At 31.9% G+C, this 14,241-nt stretch overlaps 1 protein-coding gene across 2 annotated transcripts in view; it reads left to right on the top strand.

Moving 5' to 3' along the window:
• Positions 1-953: 953 nt before the first annotated feature.
• The window catches only part of TRPA1 (transient receptor potential cation channel subfamily A member 1), a 68,761-nt gene continuing 55,473 nt past the window's right edge, over positions 954-14,241 (top strand). The window contains exons 1-2 of one of the 2 annotated variants that reach the window (XM_011517625.3): positions 954-1,016; positions 9,630-9,788. Coding sequence is in view for 1 of the 2 variants with exons in the window: in XM_011517624.3 (XP_011515926.1) it covers positions 995-1,016 (22 nt within the window). In the remaining variant the exon portion in view is untranslated. The remainder of the gene's footprint in view (positions 1,017-9,629; positions 9,789-14,241) is intronic. The other variant, XM_011517624.3, reaches the window with a different exon arrangement.

Here is a 14,241-nt window from a genome sequence, read left to right as displayed (position 1 = left end):
TTTTCAATCAAGTTGTCATATTTGATGTCTAAAGTTAGCTTGATTTAGTAAAACATTACAGTTTTCACAAGATAATTTGTTAACTACTTTCTTTAGAAGTTTATGCTTCCCTGAGTCATATCTCTGGGAGACACAGATACATGTTGATGGTATGGGAATTTGCCATATTTTATTTTGGTACATTCTCTTGGATAGTTCAGTTTTGTCTTCAATTTACTGATGCATAACAGATTTTAAGGAGTAAATGACAATGCTGCAATTCTTCATTTACTTTTCTTGATAATCTCTCTTTTATTCAGTAGGAGGATGGCAATTAGTTTTCCACAAAGGCTATGTAATTCTCTTATGACTACTACTGTTAACTATAGTAGTCATCCTTTTTCTGAGATTTCACTTTCTGCAGTTTCAATTACTGTGGTCAACTGCAGCCCAAGCATAGGTGAGTACAATGAATAAGATATTTTAAGAAAGAGCACATTCACATAAATTTTCTTATACTATGTGTTGATAATTGTTCCTTTTTTTATTTTTGTTGTTAATTTCTTGCTGTGTCTAATTGACAAATTAAATTTTATCATATGTACATATTTATAAGGAAAAGATAGTATATATAGGGTTCAGTACTATCTGAGTTTCAGGCATCCACTGGGGGGTCTTAGAAAGTATCTCCCATGGATAAGGGGAAACTACTGGACTTTGGTTTGTGGTTTTGCATTACAAAGGAACCATGGTAGGTGAAACAAACTTATAAGCAATAATTAAATTAAGTGATTGGTTTCAAGTAGACAGTAATAAAATTTCAAAGTTCAAATTATGAATACATAGTGATCACCCACCATGTAGTCTAATAAAAAGGCATAATATTGACTCTTAGAATGAACCACCCCTTATATAATTATATGGGACTATTAAAGTGGGTGCAACCTATTGCCTGTGTGAGGAAAGGAACACTTCTCCGCTTGATTATTTATGCCTGTGTAACATCAGAAACAGGATGTCAATTTCCATGAAGAAAGGTAAGCATACCTTTTCTTCAATATCTTGTAACTTTCCAATTTTTAAAGGATAAGGCATGTATTTCACAAGATGAGTACAGGTTTCTGATATATAAAATAAGTATAATTATTATACTAACATATACATCTGAATGCCAGTTTGGATTTTAACTGTAAAAACAAAGTTCTCATTTTATACTTAATGTTATTTTGTTTCAATCTGACATAGTTACCACCATGAACTAGATGAGGTAAAAACTTTTATACATCTAATTTTGTTTGAATTTTTTGAGCTGTGGTTGTCTAGAATTCACTGAGAAGCTTGTGTCTTAGGATCCTAAAAAGGTTTCCTCTAGACTGGGATAAATTAGTATATTTTTGAAACAGTCAAACAAGAATGTCTTTATAGACTGAAGACAAACTTTGAACTAAAGATATTGTGTTAGCTGCTTAAGATAAATACAATAAAATATTTTTATATAATAAAGTAGCTCAGTATTCTAAAGCTTCCACATATAATAAAATTATTAAATAGCAAAGATTCTTCATGAGATAAGAACTTTTTTTTGTGGTCTTACTCGTGTGGGTTGTGGTGTGAAATGATCTGGGTATAAATTAAGTGCATAGCAAGGAAAGTTGCACCATAGAAGATTTTTATAATTAATAAGTACCTTAAATTGTACTTCCAAATCCTATAAAGTATTACTTGTATTTAGAGAAATCTACTATATCTCTCATTCACTGGCAGATATCACGGAAACATTTTAAATTTTGGCAACTGCTTCAGGTTAAATAGTTAGAATTAAAAATTCACAACAGAAAGATTAAGTTCATCATCTGATTAAGTTAAGTAATAAAATATGTGCATAGTCACAAGAATTTAATACAAATAAGATACATGTATACATCTTATTTTATTCTAAAATTTGAAATACGATTTGCTGTAAAACAAATGACTCTTAGCAAGATTTCCTTTGTCTGGAGGCCAACTTAATTAGCTTTTTTAATATCTCACATTTTAAATAATCTTATCAGATTTGGCTTTTTATTAATTGCATTAATAGTCACTCTAGATCATGGTTGCCAAGAGCCCTGGGAATGGTGCTGCTTTGGATAACCTGTGTATATCAGCTTGTCTTCTGGGGAGTAGAAAGAGCAAGATATGCTTAGGTTTCTCTATAACAAAGTACATTAAGTTTCTCTGATTACCAGTAGAAAACAGCATTTCATAGATGTCAAAGTGGTGTGTGGGTGTGGGTGTGTAATTTATCTCATTACTTATCCATATTAAACAAAATTTTCCATCTGGAACTCAGTTGTCACCAAACTAAAGACACAGCTTGATGAGTAGTAGACTCTCAATGAACATTAGCTCCTTCCTTCCTCCCTGACCCAATACTTTTCTGTCATTCAAATATTTCAAGACAGGCTATAAAGTTATTTTCTCCTTTCCATATGATTTGGAAGAAACAGAATAGAATTTTTTAATTACACAGAAACTAAAAGAAAGCAATTGGATTGAGATTGTTGTCTAAACATGCATATCTACCCTCCTTCCCATCTGAAATCCTATAAAACAGCAAAAAAAAAAAAAAAAAAAAAGTTTTCAAAGAAAAAGTAAATCCAAAACAGGGTGAAAAAAAGAATGCCACCAACAGACTAGAAATGTTAAAGGATTCTGGAAAGATAGACAGTAGATAGGATTGAATATACAAAGTTGTTAAACTGAAGCAAAACATGAACTAAACATAGGCAAAAGAATGCTGTGATGGGAAGAGTGAAGGAGGAGATCTGAACACAAAGTCAATTGCCACAAGATACAAAGACAGCTTCAAGCATTCATCAGACAAGTTATTAATTGAGAAACGAAGGTGAGAGCTAGGCTAGCAAGCACCACTCCCCTCTCTGATCTGTACTAAGCAACAGGCAGCAAAAGTGTCTGCCCATAGGCTAAGGCAGAGTGTGGGCAAGTGGGCCCTGAGGCAGAGCAATGCTCCAGGAAGGACAAGGAGCTCCTGTTCCCAGAATGGGAGCTGAAGCACATAGAGCTGCCCTCCTAGCGGCACAGCCAGCCTCTGTCATCAGAGACTGATCTTAGTGACTAGAGGAGGTAAGTGGACAGAGATCTAAAATACAAAAATGAGCAGAGAGATTATTGAACATTAGAAGGAACTAACATTATTATAATGAGAAAATGAGGTTAATAGGACAAGCAAAGCAGGGCATTAGAATAAAATAAAATTTAAAATGTGAGAATATGTTACATTGACAAAGACTCAATTGGAGACTTTGAAATAAAACTTTCTTCATGCAATTAAAATATATATATATATATATTTGATAGATCCATATAACTGAAAAACAAAACAGTGGGCTGAAAGATCAACTCAAAGAATATTCCTATAATACAATATAAAAGGACAAAGAAAAAATGTGAATGATAAGCTTAAGATACAAGGAAAATGGGTTAAGAAATTTTAATATGCACTCAGAAAAATCAGACAGAGAAAATGGAAAGTACAGGAGCATCTATATGTTCAGCTAGAAATAGACACTGAACATCAATTCCTCCTTCTTTTGCCAACGGCATACTTCAGTTTCTCTTAGGGCAATGGAAACTATTCTTGTCTCATTCTCAATCCATTCTGAGTTTACTCAAATTCAATTTGGGTAAAGCTGGCTCCATGCCTGATTTCAACAGAGGGCATGAATCTCAGGTCTGCATAATCAGATTATTGTTTTTCTGGCTATGGTGACTAGCTAAGAAATTGAAATCATAACCCAATTACAGCCAGTAATACACCATGGAGTTTTACAGAGCTGGTAGAAAATTCAGTCACCATACCACTGGACATAAACTTGGAAGATTTCAGCCTGAGGCTGCCATAGATAAAGAGGTGAGCCTTCAAAGAAGTAGTAAAATTTCTTCCTATAAAAAAAATTAAAAGAAAGAGAAAATCAGCTTTAATGAGAGTGAGACTCTGGTACTTAAATAAGTACCAACATAGGCCATTTTAGTACTGGGATCAATTAGTTTATCTTTTTGTTAAGTCATTTTAGTTGTGTTTTTCTACCACTTGCCATGAAAAGATGACTGAGATATGCAGAAATAAATAATAATACCAATATAATGGAATAAAATTTCCCAAAGCCAAAGAAAGATAATTACTGGATTGAAATGATATTTCCCAATAATTGTTTTAGAGTACAGAACAAGGTAAACAATAGAAAATCTTTATTGAGTTGCATAGTGGTGATATTTCAGAATACCAAGAAGGAATATAAAAATTCTAAAAGAGTTTAGAGAGAAAATAAAATAACTTATAAAGAAATGAATTAGAAACAGATTGATATGACACTGTATCTGCAAAATTGATATTAAGAAGTAACGTCAAAATCTTCCAATTTCTGGAGAAAACAACTGTGAAAGAATTTTGTATTTATTTAAACAATTATTCAATAGGAAGCCAAAATAAGGACAATTTCAGTACAGTAAAAGCTAAAAGAAATTTTAGTACCAACATACCACCTCTGGAAGAATTATGTGTGTACAGAATGCGGAAAACCTAATTTGAATACGAGACAAAGAATGATAAAAATTACAGAATGTATAACTATGGATGGGAGAAGTGATAAAGGAAGACCTAAGCTTATTATATTCTAAATGAGAAAGATATAATAATTAACTCTTGAGTTTGATAAAAATCTTAAGCTTAAGTGTGATTGTTAAAATTAAGGAAAATCATAAGAAAAAGTAGAATGTGCAAGGGCCTGGCATGGTGGCTCACGCCTGTAATCCTAGCACTTTGGGAGGCTGAGGCGGGTGGATCACGAGATCAGGAGATCGAGACCATCCTGGCTAACAGGTTGAAACCCCATCTCTACTAAAAATACAAAAAAATTAGCCGAGCATGGTGGCAGATGCTTGTAATCCCAGCTACTCGGGAAGCTGAGGCAGGAGAATTGCTTGAACCCGGGAGGCAGAGGTTGCGGTGAGCCAAGATCACACCATTGCACTCCAGCCTGGGCGACAGAGCAAGACTGTCTCAAAAAAATAAATAAATAAAAAGTAGAATACGCATTCCCCAAATCAGTAAAGGTTAAAACAAAATGCACAAGGTGAACCTAACCAGGAAGAGGAAATAAAACAATAAAAAAGAAAACAGGAAAATTTTTAAGTCATATGAAAAGAACAAATGCAAACGTATCCATGATCACAATCAATATAAATAAACTAAACTTCCCAATTAAAAAGAAGATTGGGTTAAAAACAAAATAAAACCAACTCTAAGCTGCTTGCATGCAACACATCTAAAGGGAAAAAAAGTACAGATAAACGTTGAAACTAAAAAATAGAAAAATATGTTAGAAAAATAGTAACAAAGAGAAAGATGGTAAGGCAGTGTTAATATCTAGTAAAAATGAAATTCAAGTATAAAAAAATTAAAGAAGATAAATATATATTTCATATTGATTAGATTATAATTCAAGGTATAAATTTACCACCATTGTTATGAACATTTCTGTATTAAAAACATAGTTTATAAGTATATAAATAAATAACTGATTATATACATGACTAAACTGTCAATTCCACAACTGTGGTGGAATCCCTTACTATACATGTTTGCATATCAAGTAAATGAAAAATAATGAGGTAGAAGACTTGAAGAACAATTGATAAGATTTAGCTAATGAATTTATATAAAATGCTATATTAAAAATACTACCTTAAATGGAACTTCAGCCATATATTGGACGATAGAATCTCAACAAATTTTTAAAAAGTGTAGGCAATATAAGATAACTGAGCACTATCAATAAAATCACAAACTAACATGAAAAAGTTTGTTTTGAAAAGTCCCTAGCCATTGAAAATTTAAAACATCATTTTCAATATTTGCATTGAAAAGGAAATTAGAATTCAAATGTTAGAGTTAGTAAGAAATAACTTTTAAAAGCATGCTTTTTCAACACTGATGAGACAACAAAAGTGATTCTCAAATAAAATTTTATCACTGGCCGGGTGCTGAGGTCAGGTTTGTAATCCCAGCACTTTGGGAGGCTGAGGCGGGCAGATCACGAGGTTGGGAGTTCGAGACCAGCCTGGCCGACAGAATGAAACCTCGTCTCTCCTAAAAATACAAAAATCAGCTGGGTGTGGTGGCAGGCACCTGTAATCCCAGTTACTCAGAAGGCTGAGGCAGGAGAATTGCTTGAACCAGGGAGGCAGAGGTTGCAGTGAGTCAAGATCATGCCACTGTACTCCAGCCTGGGAAACAGAGCTAGACCCTGTCTCAAAAAAAAAAAAAAAAAAAAAATTATCATTTTAAGAGCACGTATAAAATAATTTAAAACAGACAAAATAAATAAAGTAAGATAATTTTTAGAAAAACTTCAAAATCAATTCTCAAATAATTTCACATGAAAAAGAAGCTAAATAGGAAGGATAAAAGCAGAAAACATTTCATAAGAAACAAAAAAATAGAAAATAGGACTGCTAAAACCAAAAGTTGTTTCCTTAAAAAATCAAATCTCTAAGAAATAAAAAAAATCTTACAAATTACAAATAAACATCAGAAGCAAGACAGTGGGAACAGATATAGGGAAGATTTAGAAATTTATGAGGATACTATGAATCCCAATACATTTTTAAAAATGTTTATGAAATGGATTATTTTCAAGGAAACTAAAAATTGATAAATTTGACTCAAAAAGACAGAAAATCTAAATAGACAATAACAATACAAAAATCAAAAATACAGTCAAATGCTGAGCCCTAAAATACATCATATTTTAATGGTATCATAGGTGAGTGCTTCCAAAACTAAAATAGATTATAACCTAAACAGTTCTGTAGCCTAATGAAATTCCAGATTGAAATAAAATTTAAAATGACTGTAAGAATGAGAAGCAGATACGTTCATCTATACAAATTTGTCAACTTTCATCTCTGTGACTATGATTATATGTTCAGCTTTTTTAACTAGTACCCAGCTTTCGACTCACTGAACAACAATAAAAAAGTGATTATTTTACTTAATAAATACACATTCATGTAGATAATGACCCTAAGAATTCAGGATAAAAACTAAAATTTAAATTAAAAATATCTGAACAGAAACAGGAGTAGCTACAAACCACATGGGAAACAGATTCTACAGTTTAAGCCCGAGAAAGTTACAGAAAAATTTTTTTTTGTTTGTTCGTTTTTTGTTTTTGTTTTTTGAGATGGTCTCGCTCTGTCACCCCTGCTGGAGTGCAGTGGTGTTATCTCGGCTCACTGCAAGCTCCGCCTCCAGGGTTCATGCCATTCTCCTGCCTCAGCCTCCCGAGTAGCTGGGACTACAGACGCCTGCCACCATGCCCGGCTAATTTTTTTTTTTTTTTGTATTTTTAGTAGAGAAGGGGTTTCACTATGTTAGCCAGGATGGTCTCGATCCCTTGACCTCGTGATCCACCCGCCTCGGCCTCCCAAAGTGCTGGGATTACAGGCGTGAGCCACTGTGCCCGGCCAGAAAATATTTTTAAAAATTAATCAAAACCTGGAGTTGCTGTGATATTCATCTAAAACGTCCAGTTATAAGCCAAAATGTTATAAGACAAGCAAAGAAACAAGTCAGTGTAGCCCATACTCAGAAAGAGGAAAAAAGGAACAAACAGAAACTAATTCTATTTGAGTATAGATGTTAGATTTAGCAGTTAAGTATTTCAAATCAGCTAATATAAAGATGTTGAATGATAAAGAAAACATTTTCAAAGAATGAAAGGAAAATATGTTGAGAATGACAAAACAACAATGGAATTTTAATAAATATAAACTAAAAACAAAAAGAACCAAATGGGCATTCTAGAGTTGAAAAGACAATAATATAAATGAAAAATTTACTAGTAGGTTCAATAGCAGATTTGGAAACAATGAAGAAATAGTAAACTTGAAGACAGATAAATAAAAATTAATCTAAAGCAGAGATAAAAAAGACTAAAAATATTGAACAGAAACATGGACAACATTAAGTTTACCAGCATATACATAATGGAAGTCCCAAAAAGAAAAGAGCAAGAGAAAGGAGAAGAAAAATTATTTGAAGAAATTATGACTGAAAACTGTTCAAATTTGAAAAAAAAAGTATTAATCTACAAATTCAAGAAGGTCCATGAACACTAAGGAAGTTAAACACAAAGATGTCAATACATGGATACCTTAGAGTCAAGTTGCTGAAAGACAGAGAAAAATCTTGAAATTAGGAAGAGAAAAACTACTTATCTAATTGAAAAAAAAAAAGATAATTTGTTGACTTCTCATTGAAAACAATGGAGGCCAGAAGGCAATGTAATAATACTCAAAGTGATGAAAGAAATGTGTATCAAACAAAACTTCTATATCCAGCAAAAAGTATTCCTTATTTTATTTTCCAAGCAGACTTGCCTTATTAGATGTTCTAAAAGAAATCCTTCATATTGAAAGAAAATAGTAGCAGACAGTAACTCAAATCTATTAGAATAAATGAAGACCACTAGCTATGGTAAATAAGTAGGCAAATATAAAAGTCCGTGTGTGTGTTTGTGTATCCTATTTTCTTCTTTTAATTTCTTTTAAAAATGTGAAATTGTTTAAAAAGAAGAATTATAACACACTATTTTAGAGTATATACCATGCATAGATGTATAAATGTATTACATATGACAATAACAACATAAAATGGGAGAGGAAATTGTGATACATTGGAGGAACATTGCCATAGTTTACTGAATTAAACAAGTATTAATCTAAAGTAGACTGTAATAAGTTAAAGATGAACATTGTAATCACTATACTATGAAAATAACCTGAAAACATCCAAACAATCTACCGATGAATTAAAATGGCATGTTAAGACAATTGTTGGATACAAAAGAAGGCAGTAGAGAAAAAACAGAGTGAAAGAAAAATATGTGATACAAACAAACAAATATTAAAATGGCAGTTCCATATCAATAATCATATTAAATGTCAATGATATAATGAGTAAATATTGTAATTAAAAGGGAGAGACTGTCAACCTGTATAAAAGAGAAAGATTCAACTATATGCTATTTATAAGAAACAGTTTAAAAACAAATAGATTAAAATTAACAGGATGGAAAAAGATCTGCCATCTGAATGGTAAGCATAAGTGATCTGGCATGACAATATCAGATAAAATAGACTTTAAAATAAGAAATATTACTAAAGACCATAAAGGAAATTTCATAATGATAAAAAGGAAAATATAGTGGGAAGACAATAATTATAAGTATGCATCTAAGAACAAAGACACTCGCTCAATGGAGTATAAATCCTGACAGAATTGTGAGAAGAAATAGACAATTTAACAATTATAATTTGATATTTTAATATTCTCAGTAACTGATAACATAATAAATAGAAAATCACTAAGAATATAGAAAACTTGAGCAACACTATCACCGAAGTATACCCAATAACATACTGAGAAACTTTACCAAATGATAGCAGAAAATACATTATTTTCAAGTGTATGTAGAACAGTCTACTAGATAGACCATACGCTAGGCATAAAATGTTTCAACAATTCTACATTTGAATTTACGTGGATTGAAACAATACAAAGTATGTTCTTTGACCATAAACAGGGTGAATTGAATATCAACAACAGAAATAAATTTGGGAAAATCCCACATACTTGAAAATTAAGCAACAGAGTTCCAAAAGTAATTTGTGAGCCAAAGAAGAAACCAGAACTGAAAACACGCCAAATCAAAATTTATGAAATGCAGCTACTGTAAAGTTGAGTAAGTATTTTGTATCTTTAAACAATTATATTAGAAGAAAGATCCAAAATCAACAACTGAATGTTCTACCTCAAAAAGGTAAAGGAAGAAGAGCAAATTGAACCCAAATAATTAGAAAGAAAAATTAAAGAAAGAAAAAAATGAAACAAAAGTAGAGAAACAATAGAGAAAATCAATAAAATCAAAAGTTGGTTCTTGAAAAACAATCAACAAAACTGATAAACTATTAGCTAGGAAAGAGATTACATGAATGACAAAAAACAGGAATGAAAGAAGGGGCATTATTACACACCCTACAAGAAACTGATTGACTAAATTGATTGTAAAGGAATTCTATGAACAACTTTGTGCCAACAAACACATAGACAACTTAGATTAAATGGACAAACTTCTCAACAAATTACCAAAATTTACTCAAGCAAAAATATTAAATCAAAATAGCTCTACAAAAGATAAAAATTGAATTAGTAATTAAATATCTTCCCAAAGGCCTGCACTGGTGAATTCTATTAAACCTTTAAAAAAAATAATACCAATATTATACAAACTACTTCAGAAAATAGAAGACAACAGTTTTAAACTTATTCAGGGAGGCCACTACTATACTGATAGCAAAGCTATACAAAGATATCACAAAAAGAGGCAACTACAGATCAATATTCTTCTTGAGCCTAAACACAGAAATCTTTGACAAAATATTAGCAACCTGAATCCAGTAACATATGAAAAGGTTGGTTTAATATTAGAATATCTATTAATATAAAATAATGTAAGTGAGAAAAAAACATGTGATCATCTTAATAGTTGTAGAGACAGTATCAGACAAAATTAAACACCCACTCTTGATAAAAACAAATTATAAAATATTTTCCTCAACCTGATAATAGACATCTATGAAAATCCTACTTTAATGTCATATTTAATGTTGAAAGATATTGCTTTCCCCCTAAGATTGGGAAAAAGGTAAGGATATCCACTCTCTCCTCTTCTATTCAACAATGTCCTAGAGCTTCTAATCAGTGACTGAGGTGGGAAAAAAAATTAAAGGCATACAATTGCAAAAGGAAGAAGCAAACTGTCTTTATTAGCATTGTCTTATATGTTTAAGATTCTAAAAAGTCTCTTAAAAATCTACTAGAATTAATAAGCAAAGTTAGTAATACTGTAGAAAACAAGATCACTTGGAAAATTCAATTGTATTTCTGTAAACAGCAAATCATCTGATGGTAAAATTAAGAAAATCATTTCATTTAAAATAGCTTAAAATTAATAAAATCCTTAGGAATACATTTAACCAAAAATATGCATGAACTGTACATAGAAAACTACAAAGCACTGCTGAGAGAATCAAGACAGATATATATAAACTGAAAATATACCATGTTTATGGATCAGAAGACTCAATATTTTAAACATGGCCCTTCCCACCAAATCAATCTATAGACTAAATGCAACAGGCATACCCAGAAACAATGCTTCATCAGCCATCAAGGCATCCTTCCATCTAGTCAAGTTGACACCTAATATTAACCATCATACTACCCATCTGACAAGAGATTAATAACCTGAATATATAAGTCAAGACCATGTGGTATTGGCTTAAATATAGAGATATTAATCAATGGAAGAAGATAGGGGTCTAGAAACAAACTCTTACATTTGTAGTCAATTGATTTTTGACAATGGTTTGAAGGCAGTTCTATGAGGGATGTATAGTTTTTTTAACAACTAGTAACAGTTGTATATCCATATGCAATAAAAATGAACTTAGACCTCTACCCCACAACCCGAACAAAAAATTAACTCAAAATTGATCTAGTTAAGAGCTGACACTTCTAGAAGAAAATACTGAAGAGAAGCTTTTTAATTTTGAATTGGCAAAAGTTTCTATGGCACCCAAAACACAATATAGGAAATTAACAAATTAGACTTTTATCAAAATTAAAAGTTTTGCTTTTCAAAAGGCACTATTAAGAAAATAAAGAGAAATAACAGCTTCTGAAAAAACTTTGCAAATTATTTATCTGTTTAAAGAGTTATATTTAGAATAAAGAACTCTTACAATTTAATAGTAAGAAGACAACGCAATTTAAAAAGAGGCAAAAGAATTTAATAAATATTTCATCAAGAAAATATATGAGTGAATAATAAGACATGCTAATATGGACAATATCATTAGCCATTAGGGAAATACTAATTAGAGACTCAATGGTATATACCATTAGAATGATCATAATAAAAAAAGATTGACAATACTAAGTTTTGTGAGGCTATGGAGTAAGTAGAATCCTCATACACTGCTGGAGGCCATATAAAATGGTACATCCACTTTGGAAGGTAATTAGGCATTTTCATACAAAGCTAAACACATACTTATCACATTACTCAGCAAATCCACTACTAGGTATCTCTCTAAACAAGAGAAATAAAAATGTATGTCCACAGATTTGTATGAAAATGTTCAGAGCAGCATTATTTATAATAGACCCAAACTGGAAATAATTCAAATGTCTACCAACTGATAAATAGGTAAAGAAAACATGGTATACCCATACAATGGAATACTATTGATCAATAAAAAGGAAGAAACTACTGATATATAGTACAATGTGGGTTAATCTCAAGTGTATTATACTAAGCAAAAGAAGCCAGATACTAAATATTACATAGTGTATGACTCCATGTATCTGAAATTTCTAGAGAAGGCTAAACTATAGAGATAGAAAGTGTGCTCCAAAGACAGATTGAAGGTTGCTTAGGGGTCTGGGTTGGGGAGGGATTTACTGCATCTGGGTCTAAGGAAACTTTTTGGATTGATGGAGATATTCTAAAACTGGATTGTGGAGATAGTTGTATACTTGTATAAATTTACTACAAGTCATCAAACTGTGCACTTTCCATGGGTGCATTTTATGTTTTGTTTCATAAAAGATGCTATTTTCCTTAGCATGTATATTGGGCCCCTTTTCATTAATAACATATCTGGATTAGTGACTTTAAAAATAAATATTTTTATAATTAATTTATAAACAAAACATTTTTAAATTTAAGGAACAAAATAATTAAGGAGAATTTTGGTAATTTAGATTTTTTTCATAAAATGTTATTGAGCAATATGTGCATATAACTATATTTTCCTTGATAATTTAAATAAAATTATTTATTATTATTACTTTTCATTTTCTTGAATAAGGTCCTGTGTAATGTCAAATTGTAATTTGATAATAAAAATTACCTTCAGAAAATTTCTAGGAAGGTTTCTTTTCTCTAATAAGTATCATTTTAAGAGTATAACTGATATAAAAAGCTTGCACATTACTGCTATTCATCAATAAACTTCAAATGAAATAAGATCTTGATTGTAAATAGCTAGATACCATCTTGTTCCTGTTTACATTTTGCATTTTAAGACCAAGATTTGCAATTAATCTTGCAATTAGAGGAAGTTGCCCTGCCTGCCTATGAAAAAGATATTTTTGATGGGTAGGAAATAATTTAATGATTAAGAAGAAACAGTCATGGGAATTCCTGAGAGGTCTTAGGAAGACACTGCCTGAAAAATGCCTAAAAGGAACAAGACCCCCATAATATTTTTTAAAAATTAAACTATCTTTTAATCTATTTGCTTTTATAAGCAGAAAGCAGGAAAAAAATCATATCTATAATATTAACCAACTGTATTTTTCAGTGTTAAAGACAGAGAAGACAAATTAAAAAGAATACATGCTTTGGAGAATGTCAGTGGGGTAGAGAAGCAAGAATGCAGACTCCAGGGGATATTACAAAGGAGGGGTGCTGTTGGCCTGGAGCCACCCTTCTCCCAGAATTCCCCTCAACCATCCATTGCTGGAGTTCCCTGCACTGGCCCACGCTGCCCCCCCCCCCACCCCTGTCACCCCCTGTCTCTCGGGGCCAACAGGGCCATCTGATGCTTGCTGCCATGACATGCCCACTGCCCCAGCTTCCAAAATGATCACTTCGAACATCCTCTTTATTCAGTTTTTGCCTTAGTGACCCTTTCCAGCTAAGTGTTGTGAGAAAAGCAATCGATCAAAATAATCAATGATAAAAAATAAAAAGTCTTAATATTCCTATGAGGCATTTCCATTTTAAAACATTAAACTGGTATATGGAAAATATCAGGTAGGCAGCAATGGCTCAATGAGAGTTATTCTTTTTACCCAACCCTGGGATTCTTTTCTTTATTGGTTTCTCCAAATGCATTACCTCCTTCAACTAAATCATAGCAAGTTGTGCAACTGATTCTTATCTTGCATACCCTGAACACAGATGCTGATGAGAAAAGAGTGCAAAGGTGAAGTTGAACACCTGTATCCTCCAGCAAGCCATACTCATGGACTCATGATGTGGTTAAGTTCAATATTATCCTTCCAAGGAATTCCACTCCAGGGGTGGAATTGATGGCAACCTGCCATATCCATTGGAAGATTTA

This window comes from Homo sapiens, chromosome 8 (genome assembly GCF_000001405.40).
Source record: "Homo sapiens chromosome 8, GRCh38.p14 Primary Assembly".
In the NCBI taxonomy this organism is placed as follows: domain Eukaryota; kingdom Metazoa; phylum Chordata; class Mammalia; order Primates; family Hominidae; genus Homo; species Homo sapiens.
This window is presented reverse-complemented; position numbering and strand designations above follow the sequence as displayed.